At 34.6% G+C, this 12,404-nt stretch overlaps 1 protein-coding gene and 1 long non-coding RNA gene across 7 annotated transcripts in view; one reads left to right on the top strand and one right to left on the bottom strand.

Annotated features, from left to right (window-relative positions):
- CDH12 (cadherin 12) overlaps nt 1–12,404 on the top strand; it is a 1,102,672-nt gene that overhangs the window by 93,852 nt on the left and 996,416 nt on the right. The window lies entirely within an intron of this gene.
- LOC101929617 (uncharacterized) lies at nt 1,188–5,010 on the bottom strand. Of its 2 annotated transcripts, XR_241750.6 has the most exons (4): nt 4,782–5,010; nt 4,407–4,477; nt 2,381–2,442; nt 1,188–1,452 (listed from the first exon to the last, which is right to left on the bottom strand). It is a non-coding gene; the product is annotated as an uncharacterized LOC101929617 (long non-coding RNA). The 2 variants fall into 2 exon arrangements; XR_241749.6 differs by lacking the exon at nt 4,407–4,477.

Below are 12,404 nucleotides of genomic sequence, written 5' to 3'. Positions count from 1 at the left end.
CCTGATGAGAGATCTATTCAGTTGCTTCGAGGTCTTCAAGAAGCAAGTATTTCCTAAAGAAAGCAGCTAAATGATCTTGCCTAATTTTAGTACTTTTTAACCCCAAAACAGGAAAAAAACCTCCTAAAATTGTTTAGCATAAGGACAGGAAAATACATCATTTCAATTATGAGCTGTATATGTGTATACTAGAGGTTGAAGAATAAGGTAAGAATAAAACAAGGCTTTGGAAGAAAGAATACATGTGTGGTGGCCTCTTTGAAATCAATCTAAGTTTTTTTTTGTTTTTTTTTTCTGAGACTGCGTAGCAGTCTAGATGGTGAAATATATCCTGAATCACAAGTCAGAAGTCCAGGTTGCCAGTTCTGATTCCAGTTTTAACTTTATGACAGGCAATCTTTTGGACTTGTTTGGGTCTGTGTGTATTCACCTTTCATATGGTATCTTAGCCAAGATCTTATTTGGTTTTAAAATTTTGTTATTTTCTTAATAGACAAAAAAAATAGACAATATCTGCTTTGAGCAAGTCATAGGGATAAGACTCCTCAGAGAATACCTGATGGAATGAGGTTGGAAATGAGTACTTGGGAAAAACTAGAGAACAATAGATTTCTCAAAAATTAGTGATTGCCTGAAGCATGCTGAATATAAAGATGATTATTTGAGCCATGCCGCTTTTCTCATAGTAGCTTAATACACAATTTCATAGCCCTTCCATTGACCATTATAAATAAATCAAACATACTTTTGTCACTACGAAGATTTATACATCCAGTAGATGGACAAACATTTGCAAATAGAAAATATGATGTTACAATTTAGTATTATTAAAGCAAACAAAGTTTACTCTTTGCTCTGTTAATGCTGCGTAAAACTGCCTTATAAGAGAATTGTTATTTTTATGCTGAGAAAATGGGATAAGACCAACTTCTGTCAAAAAAGGAAAAAAAAAAAAACTATAAATCAAATGGATGTTAGAGAACACACAGACAATGTTTAATCTTCCCTTTTATAGTTTACAACTTCGTAGTTTTCATCTGGGAATGATTTTTGTTTGTTTGCTTTTTTGTGGGGTGGCAAGCGAGGACACATGCCCACTGCTGCTGCTACTGATAGTGGCTGTCAATGGTCTTCTTTAGAGATGCTTCGCCAGAAGGGTCTAAGGTAGTTGCCAGAACAGTTTAAAGTGGTTTAGAAACAATCTCTTTTATTTCTGTTACATGTTAGATTAACAACAACAACAACAAAACTCTATAATGTGTGCTATAGATAATGCATTTATTTAGTAAAAATGAATGTTCCACTTTTCTGCAGATTCTTTACCTTCACAATTCTGTGGCAGTTAGATGACGAGAGCTCCTGCCATGGGTATCGGCCGCCTGCACTATCAGTCTCCAGCAGTGCTCCTATTAATTATCTCGCCATAGTGCTGGAGACAGATAGCAATCTTTCCTAAAGAGCAGACAGATTTAAAGAGGCAGAATTAATTAAAATTGATTCCCACATTCTATCACATAAAAGTCTGCTGGGAGCCTCTCCTTTCTATACCCCTCCCCACTTCATGATGTTGTACTACATGGTACAGGTGGGAATCCATACCTTAGAATACTAATTATGTAGCTTGAATGGGATTATCCACAGTGATTGGCAGTGTAATGCATGAAAGGATTTTAAAATTTATTTCATTTAGGGGATTTCTTTTGGGACCAATTCTTTCTTCTAACTTATACAAGTTGTTATTGAGAGGAGGACAAAGCTGACAATCCAAGGTCACTAAGGATTATCAGAAAACTTGCAAATGAATTATACATTTTAAAATTGAATTGTTTTACATTGTATGCTTTGGAGACACATGAAGGATTAAAAATGCTGATAACAGAAGTATTGTTAAGTATCCATGTATGTTAACAATCTTTTTTTCTTTTAATGAAAACATCTGAATAATAGAACTTTTACCTGAGCATGGGCAAATAACTAATAATAAAATGAGCTGATAATCCCATATACCATTTTATACTATATATAACTAACCATTACTAGTTTATATCAAAATGAAATATTGTTACTTTAATGAAAACAATAATCCTAGACACCTCAGACTAAGTTTTACTTAATCAAGGAAATGTATTAGTTGGAGTCAATTCTGACTCTGTAACAGTGAAACCCTAAATGTTTAAGCAAGGTAAATATTATGTTTCATGTGACCAACGCAAACATTTAAACACCATAAATAAGATCTTTGGTGTAACAGTTCAGAGGTTACCATTCCAGGGGTGGTATGTGCTCTACCATCTTCAAGAGATAGCTTTTATCTACATCTACAGGAAGAAGAAAAGTTACATGGAGAATATTAAACAAGGAAAAGAAGAAGGCACACTACCTTGCTTTATAAACAGGATCCTGAACTTGTAAATAACCAAGTGCTGCTGCCCACCTAAATCCCTATTGAGGAAGTAGAGGGTAGATATTAGAAAACAGCTAGCATGAATAAGGAATGCAATGTACAAAGTAACAATTAATTTTTTTTTTTTTTTGAGACGGAGTCTTTCTCTGTTGCCTAGACTGGAGTGCAGTAGTGTGATCTTGGCTTTCTGCAACCTCCGCCTCCCGGGTTCAAGCAATTCTCTGTCTCAGCCTCCTGAGTAGTTGGGATTACAGGCATCTGCCACCACGCCTGGCTAAGTTTTGTATTTTTAGTAGAGACGGGGTTTCACCATCTTGGCCAGGCTGGTCTTGAACTCCTGACCTCGTGATCCACCTGCCTCAGGCTCCCAAAGTGCTGGGATTACAGGTGTGAGCCACCGCGTCCGGCCAGTAACAATTAAATTTGTAAAGTTGAAAGACTTAGCGATAGTCTTTGCTTTGTAGTAGAGTTTGCTTTATATTTCTTGGGCTTTCACATTTTATGAAGAATCCTTTTTAGAGTTAGAAATTTGATAATGAGGGTAAATTGTGATTTGGATAACAAAATAAGTCTTTTGAAATATTCTCTTTTTAATATTCTTCACAAATGTTAAAATAATAATTCATGAATAAATATGAGATAAATAATAGGAATAAATTAGGATGGAATAGAGAATTAACCATTAAGTTTATATGAAATATTTTTTATGTTTTAAAACTGACTGAAGTGTGTCATTCCTAACTAAATAAAGGTTTCTAAAGGGAACTTATGTATCTTTGAATGTTACAAATATAGTGTACGATGGATTTGTTACAACCGCTATACTAGTGTTTTAATCAGTATTTTGTAACTCATTATTTGTTTATTTGTTCAACAAACATAGATAGACCACCTAATATGTGTGAGTATACTGTTATAGACTGAGCAGAACACAGCAAAGCAAAGCAGTCCATTTCTTTTCTTTCTTTCTTTTTTTTTTTTTTTTTTTTTCGGTCCTTGAAGTTAGGATCCATTACTTCAAAGCACTTTCAAATCTGTCATTTCTAAAGAAGGAATTTTTCAGGGGAGATTTACAGCATCAAGAGTTTTAAGGATGGTTTAGTAGAACAGTCCAGGTCAATAAATAAAATTATAATAAAAGCAAAGTATGTAAAATTTCCCCTGTAGATACATTGTACCCATTTTTCACAGTTCTAACTTGTTTATCCAAAAGTGTACCCTAATGATTTAGATACTTTTAAAATAGTTAGACAGTGTTAACTTCCTTGTTATTGTTTGCAGCCTATATGTGAATGAGTATATACCCAAGAAAAGATAAAAAGTTTTAAAACTTTAGAAATGTAATATTGCCAAATTTTCTGTGTATATATTTGGGCAAGTAAAGTTTAAAAATATAAATCTTGAGAGTGTCACCAGCTTAACACAAGAGAAGAAAGATGTCAACATTGTCCTTAAGTAAATCGTTTTTTTCTAACAAAAGCAATTGTGTTGTATGAATTCTTACATATTGGCTTTATTTTTCTTCATACACTTTCCTACCTTCAAGAACTTTTTACCAAAAAATGTGCATTACTTTGCTCGTGATAGTAAATGAGTTAAAATATTGTAAAAACTATTATTTGGATACAAACTCAAACTGTGACACATTGACTAAGAACCCTAGATTTTCTTATAATCTTCATGTATTAGCCTCATAAAGCTGAACAATTTACCACTGACAAGTTCATGTGACCCATCAGTTACAGGAAACTAACATGATATAAAAACAACAAATACAGTTTAACAATTATATAACATTTTGAATAAAAAGTAGTGAATGTGACAATGAGATGAATAAGTATCTTTATGAAAAAGTGATATTAGAAAATTATATTAGAATACTTTGATTTCAGATTTGTCACACATTAAACTTGTAATGAATAAAACTAGTAAAAAATGGAATAGATAAAACCAATTTAAAGAATATATAGTATCAACAATATCAGCAAATGATAGGAGATACCTTATGTAAGATCCATAGATCCAGATTTATCACTCCAGAAATATCTCATTTGAAAACAAAGGCATCAATTACTGTTTGTAAGTGACATAGAAAAAAATATGGGTTAGAGACTGTGAGAAATGCATAAAATTTTAATTTTTTTACACTGCAGAGAGGAGTCCCATGGGTTCAATTCTTCTTCCCACATCTAATAGACAGTCTCAATAAGACAGTAAAATTGAATATTCATATTGATGTATAACTTCCTCCTATAAACACCTAACCCGTTTCTTTGATTTTAGCCTTTTTCCTTCCAAGCTGTTTTCCATGCTGCTGGCAGAATTATCTCAAAAAATCACATAAGGATTAAATAAGAATCAACATCTAAAATCTTACCACTCATTACAGACTCATGTATTGCTCCGTCACTTTCCCATCTCGTTTTGTGCCGTTATGTCTCTGCTTTCAGTCCCTCTAAGGACTTGACTCTCTCATCTTCTCAGGCTTCTACAGCTGCTGTTGTTTTTTTTTTTTTTTTGTCTGCTTTCCACTTCCTTCCCTCTCTCCTGCTTTCCTTGATGATTTTACTCCTCCTTTGTCTTAGACTTAACCATCACCTAGATCTATCTTCTTTCCACAGCAGATGCCATAGTACCCTGTTCTTCCCACCATCTGTATTACTCACCATGCTGTTTTCCATCTGCCTGTTCACTTGTCTCAATGCCCATCTGGCCTGTTATCTCTGTGAAGCCAAAGACAGTGTCTAGGGTTGTTACCCCAGTACTTAGAACAGGCTCCTATAATTTTTTGTTTTCGTTTTTGTTTGGCAAGAACACGAAAGTGTCGTCTCTTGTCAACTGGTGCACAACATAATGACTTTTGTAGTCAAATTTTTAAAAGCATTCAAGTTGCTTGCTGGTATTTTTTACTGATTCAATTTCTTTCATAATATGATGTTCGTTGTTTAGGTTTGATAATGGATAATTGCCAGGTTATTTTGGTCATTTAAATGACTAAGTCCCTTTCAGTGCTTTTGACTTCAAGTAGTCAATTTGGATGATGACATGTGAATTAGACATCACAAACTTATGGACTGCTTAATAACAGACTTCAAGTTTATGAAAAGAATATGGATGATAGTAAGCAGCTGTTCCCCTTTTCATTAAGAGGAAAAATGAAGGAATAGGCATAATAATTGCAACAGAAGTTAGATAATAGGGATTTTTATTTCTTTGGTTTTTGTTAGCAAAGCAAATTGTTATGGAAAATTTTTAAGAACTAAGGAAACAGTAATGTTTCTCAATGTTAAAATTTAGAGGACCAAAAGAGAATTAATCTGAAGTGTGTATCTTCTGCCCAACCGCAAATGTATATACATATATATGTATGTGTGTTTGTATATCTCAAATATTTTTTCTTCTTTTCATTCTGTCTTTTTGAAATCTATTCCCTGCAATATGCTTCCAACTGAGAGTTTAAATTCTTTCCATACTTCTTCCCCTTCCATTTATACAACACATAAAGTCAAAAAATATTTATTTTTCTTTCAAAGCATACTAGATCCTCACGGCTGAGAATGCTTCAGTGGCTTTGTTTTGCATTGAGAATAAAACCCAAACTCCTCACCAAGGCCCACAAGGCCCTATGTCATCTGCCTTTTTTTTTTTTCTTCTGACACAGTCTCGCTCTGTCTCCCAGGCTAAAGTGCAATGGCGCGATCTCAGATCACTGCAAGCTCTGCCTCCCGGGTTCACGCCATTCTCCTGCCTCAGCCTCCCGAGTAGCTGGGACTACAGGCGCCCGCCACCGTGCCCGGCTAATTTTTTGTATTTTTAATAGAGACAGGGTTCATCACCACCTCATCTTCTACCTCACTCAATATATTCCAGTTTCATAGCAAGCTTAATAAACTTCTGTTTCTTGAGTTTATCAAGCTTGTTAATGTCTTACAGCCTTTATGATTTATGTGTATTCTGCTGAAATGTGCACCCCCAGGTCTTAACATGCCTCGCTCTTTCTCATCAGTCTGCTCTTGGCCAAAGTTTCACCTCTTCAAAGAGCTATTTCTTGGTCATTCGCATTGAAGCTGCCTTCCCTACGTCTCTATTCCCTTCTTTGTTTATTTTCTTGTGACATTTAACACCGTTCAAAACCCTCATGCATTTAGCTGTTTGTTTATTACTTGCCTTATCTGTCTTCTTCAGAGGAATGTGAGCTCCAAGAAAGAAGTATCCTGCCGGGCGCGGTGGCTCACGCCTGTAATCCCAGCACTTTGGGAGGCCGAGGCGGGCGGATCACGAGGTCAGGAGATCGAGACCATCCCGGCTAAAAACGGTGAAACCCCGTCTCTAGTAAAAAAATACAAAAAATTAGCCGGGCGTAGTGGCGGGCGCCTGTAGTCCCAGCTACTAGGGAGGCTGAGGCAGGAGAATGGCGTGAACCCGGGAGGCGGAGCTTGCAGTGAGAGGAGATCTCGCCACTGCACTCCAGACTGGGCGACAGAGCGAGACTCCGTCTCAAAAAAAAAAAAAAAGAAAAAAAAAAAAAAAAAAAAAAAAAAAAGAAGTATCCTATCTGCTTTCTTCATCACTGCATCCCCAGAACCTAACACAAAGAGCAGGCACATAGTTTGAGAAATGAAAACATGTGGAAAGTTTCTGGTGTAGAGTTCCACTAAATTCAACAAATGAGAGCAGAAGGAAAAGGTATCATGCTTCATGAAACTCATTGTTAGTATAGCTTCCATACTTTCCGGCTTCTTTGAAAGCCTAATTATTGAAGTTACTCTAGTATTAATTAATATAATACATGTACATTAAGGGTTTTTTTCTTATAATTTTTCCATATTAAAAATGTTTTAAAAAATCTCTGTGGGTTTTTAAGTGCAAACATTTTCCATAATGGGATTACCCATGGGGAAAATTTTATAAATCTATGACTAAAACAATATTAATTGTACCTGCCATGAAGCAAAAGCAAAATAAATAGCAGATGTTGGAGTAATATAATACATTTAGTTTTTAATAGCTAGTATGAGATTTGCTACTTTTCTCTAGAACATCTCCACACTGAAATGATAGCAATTAAACTATACGGCATCTGTGAGCTCACTTTGTTTAGACTTGTAGCTGATCACTCTTCAAAAAAAATAGAGTATAGCATCTGCTGGCTATACTCTGAGAATACTGCCGAAATAGATGTTTATGTAGCACTAGTCTTCAAACAGTGGTTATATAATGTTTATATTCATATAATGACACTTTATTATCTCACACATGATAAATATGTATGGTAGCATCTTATCATAAATGTTTAGAATAAAATACCAACAAATTGCTGTGAAGTGAAGTAAGATTATTAGATGTGTTTTGCTAGCTGGCAACATACCCAAACCAAATAACTTCAGAAATATCAGTGAACACGTGGCAACAGTTTTGCGGCAGCTACATTTGAATTATCAACTGGAACTTTTTACAAACACCTCCTAAATGGATATAGAAACATTAATGTTCTATATTATTACTGTTGTCTATTTTAAGAATGATGAGAAATACTCCAGACGCTAACAGCTAACTTTATATAATATCACAACAATTTTATGTGACATCTAGGGAAAATAATGATAATTAACTTACTATAAAAAATTATCATGGAAATAGAAGACTTTTTAGCAGTATGTTCACATGACCAAAAGATCTGGACTCAGATTTATCTTCAAGGAAAGATAAGATTATATACTTTGTAGATATTATATATATATATATATATGTATATTATATATATATATCACAGTTTAATAATTCTATTTTTGATAATTTCTATGTTATTCCATTATTCTCAAAAAGGGACCACTGTGCTTTTTCAGATATGCGATAAGTCCCATCTTAAATAAATTACATTTCCTCCTATCTTGCCGCCTCTTTAAGGTATTACCCAAACGTTACTTTTCCTGCAAATTAAACCATTTATTTTTCCTCTCCCTTTACTTCTTTTCCTTTTCCAATACATTTTATTCAGGTGATTCCAAATCTACTTAACAACTGTTCTCAGTACCTCAGTAAGTCATTCATTTTCCCAACATTGTGAAATGTAAAGATTTATTTTAAATTCTTACTTCTTATTCCAGGGTTGTAAACCTTGTTCTCATTTTTTCTCTCCCTACCTTCCTATCCCCTACCTTTTTTTTTTTTCACTATGATTTCCTAACATTAAATACCAACTCAATGTTAATTGACTCAAATGTGTATGTTGAGTTGGGACCTGACTTCTGAGCTACAGAGCCACCTATCCGGGTGTCAAATGGCTTCATCTTAGTATCTTGCAGGTATTTTACTATTATTTTGTTGAAAACCTAACTCATTTTCTTCACTTTACTTCCTCAATGTACTTCCAAACTGAATTCTCCATTTAACTGTGTCATCAGTATCCCAAAACTAAACACTGTAGTTTTCCATTATTCCATCTCTCTCACTGCCCTACATTCGACTGGTCCATCAGAGCTTTCCAGTTTTGACTCAGAATATCTCTCTGGGTTTTGGCTCTTCTTGATATCCCCAGTACCATATCTCACACCTTGTAATATTTTTAATCCTTTAGTTTTATTCACATTGCTATTACCATAATGATAATATTATTTCCTCCTACTTGGACTACTGCCATGGCTTTCTAATTGCATTCTTTGCCCGTTGTTCTTACCTATTGAATCCAGTTACTTTTGTGTGACAGAAAATAGATGAAGTTACACCCAAGGTTTATGGACTGCAAATGGCTTGCCCTTACCTATAGTTATAAGCCCAATTTTCTCAACATGATATTCAAGGCTCTACAGCATGCGAACCCAGTTTTCCTTTTTAGTGTCATCTCCTGTGGCTCTCTTTGTTCATGTTCCAGAATAAGTAGCTTTTCTCTTTGTTCACTTTCCTAATCTCTCCAGGGAAAGAAAAAAATCCATGCCTCTTCCATTTTACTTCCTCAACATAAATCAAATATATCTACTATAAGATTTTCCTATGTAACTTTAGTATAATATGTGTTTTTCTGCACAGGAAAATTGAGTGCACTAGATTAGGAATGATGTCTTACCAGAGCCATATGTCCAAGACTAAACGGTTAAGGAATAGGTGGTAAATGAAGGTGGAAGAAGTTGATAGCTATATGAATTGAAAAATTGTATGTGTGCCTAAGTGATTTTGTGTGTGTCTATGCAACTCAAAAATAATGCTAACATACGAAAACGTAATGTATCAAATATAATGAGAATGTACTGCCTATTTACAGTAGGACGCATGCAGGTTGTAGGAGGGAAGTCTGCAGTTTTGAACATCTGCAAGGGGAACAGGACCACTTCTAACTGTCCATTTTCAAATTCTATCAGAAATCAATTTTGCCTTCTCTGAACACAGAATGAAGCAATCACTCTGTGTTCATAGAAAAAATAGTGACATACGTAGTAGATATTTGAATACCATTGCCTTCCCTATTTGGAGTCTCTGGGGTACTACATGTATTCTACTCATGCTAGTAATACCAATTTGATTTTACTTTTAGAAATATATAAGTTATTTTGTCTCTATGTAGGAAACCTATAACATTTCTTCTTTGGTTTTATGATCCCGTTCTTGTAGCATTTAAATCTGCAAGTCCATGAAAATCATTCACTTGAAACTAAAGAGAATTTGAGGAAACATCAGTGTTTCAATTATGTTATTTTATACTTCATCAAAACATAAAATGTTGCCCCACCTTAGTAAAGCATTCTATGAATCAAAGTAGTTCAAGACAATAGGCTTTCTAACCTTGGGACCATATGTCCCTTTCAGACTCATTTCTCACCTGCGCTTCAGACAGGTCTCTCTTTGAACCTGTTTGCTTCAGGGCCAGGCCCTCAGGCCTCTGTGCTGTGCTCATGCTGTTGCTGCTGATCATACTTTCAACTTCTGCTTGCACGTTACAACTCATATGCCAATGCATCAGTCAGTTGTCAGCTCCAACACGCCCACCAGGGCCAAATATTGCACAATTAGCCCCTCCTTGAAGTTGTCCTAAAAGCATTGAGAGCATTGTGTTTAAAACCTAAGTCGACACCTCTCCTCACCTTCCCACATCAATGATGTCTCTATCATAGGCCTTTTGTACTATACTTCTTTGTCTCCCAGCCCAGTGAGTTTCAAGGACAGGTATTGTGACTCCAGCAAAAATAGCCTGGCATGAAGGCAGTCAATAACTGATGAACTGAAGTCAAACAGCCCCTACGCTAAAACATTGAGAAAGCTTGTTTTTGTTTATGTTCTCACTAAAATGTAATGAAACAGCATTTCTAAAGAAGAGATTTGGTGAGTGGCATTTACCATAATAAACTTAATATGGAAATGTCGTCACATCATTACAATCGCTACAGTCTCTACTAATATTTATCTTAAGATTTCATTTCTGTGGATATGATACTTGAAATTGAGTCCTTGGTGTACTCTATACACAGAGGTTTCTTTAGATCTTAAAAGTGTGCTTTTCTTCCTTTGAATTATAAAAGATAGCCTAAGTCTTTCATTAAGCTTCTGGAAACAGGGCCCAGAAGAAAACAAAATACATCTTTATTCTCATTCACACAGTATTCTATACTGAGCAGGTCAATGTTTTGAGACCCTGCTTTTATCTTTATCTTTTTTTTTTCCTTATTCACTCATGTCTCACAAATATTTTACTTGAGTCTTCATTTTCTGTGCTGCCAGTATTATCTATATTTTGGGAGCACTTTGCTACATCCAGTCTATTCATTTATGTCTTGTGTATTCCATCAAGTTCTTTTATATGTAACCACTTCCAATATTAAAGTGTTTCAGCACCAGCTCCTATATTTCACTTAAAACAGTGTGACACTAAAAGTCAATTTATTCAGTTGTATACAGAAAATAGAATTTATGCTTATCAGCTCAGCTGTTCCATTTAAAAAATACTTATTTTTGTCTTGTTTCAATTTACACATATTTTATTTAAATATACCTTTCAAATAGTTTATTCTCTTGAAAAAGTTTTAAACATTTTATTTTTCCAAAGCCATCTCAGTGGCAAACATCTTCACTTTGGCATTTTATCAGTTTTGCTTTCAGTGATTATAGTGAATGTGTGCTCTTTATGGGAACCAATTCTTCTCTACTCAAATTTATTTAGATGGAGACAAATAGCATTTCTTGAATTACCAGAATATAAGAATTTGAAAAGTGCAAGCACACCCTATTCCTATAGCTATCTATCCATTTATTCCTGAATACATTTTGAAAAATAAAATACTCAGATTCATAAGAAATTTTTAATTCTATTTTGCTGCAAGGGCCAAGTTTAAAACACTAGGAATCGTAAATCATTCTTAAGAATCACATATTTTTAATGCTTTTATTGAAGAAATCATAAGCAACAAGAACTCAAATGCAACTTTAGCTATAAGTTAATTGTTTCATTATTTACTACTTTTTTTTCTTTTCTTCTCTTTTTTTTTTTTTTTTTGGCAGCGTCTCACTCTGTTACCAGGTTGGAGGGTAGTAGCGCAATCTAGGCTCACTGCACTGCAACCTCCACCTCCCAGATGAGTAACTTGGACTACAGGCACACAGAACCATACCCAGCCAATTTTTGTAGTTTTTTTTTTTTTTTGTACAGACAGGGTCTCACTTTGTTGCCCAGGCTGTTCTTGAATTCCTTAACTGAAGCAATCTGCCCATGTTGGCCTCCTAAACTGCTCAGATTACAGGTGTGAGCCACTACACCTGGTCTTTTACTGTTTATAAATGGGGAAACATACCAAATGAGTACAATATTAATTCATTTGGACATTTTCTTTGTTTGAATATTACCATCATTTTAAAAATCACATGTTATTGATTATAGGTAAGCCTTTCTGTAAAATAAACATATAATAAGTGTTTAACCATTTTTCTTATATAAAAATTATTTACATGGCATGACATTTCTAGTTGTAACTAATTTTTACCCATATTCAATTTATTAAAGTACACATCACTTTCA

This window comes from Homo sapiens, chromosome 5 (genome assembly GCF_000001405.40).
Source record: "Homo sapiens chromosome 5, GRCh38.p14 Primary Assembly".
In the NCBI taxonomy this organism is placed as follows: domain Eukaryota; kingdom Metazoa; phylum Chordata; class Mammalia; order Primates; family Hominidae; genus Homo; species Homo sapiens.
This window is presented reverse-complemented; position numbering and strand designations above follow the sequence as displayed.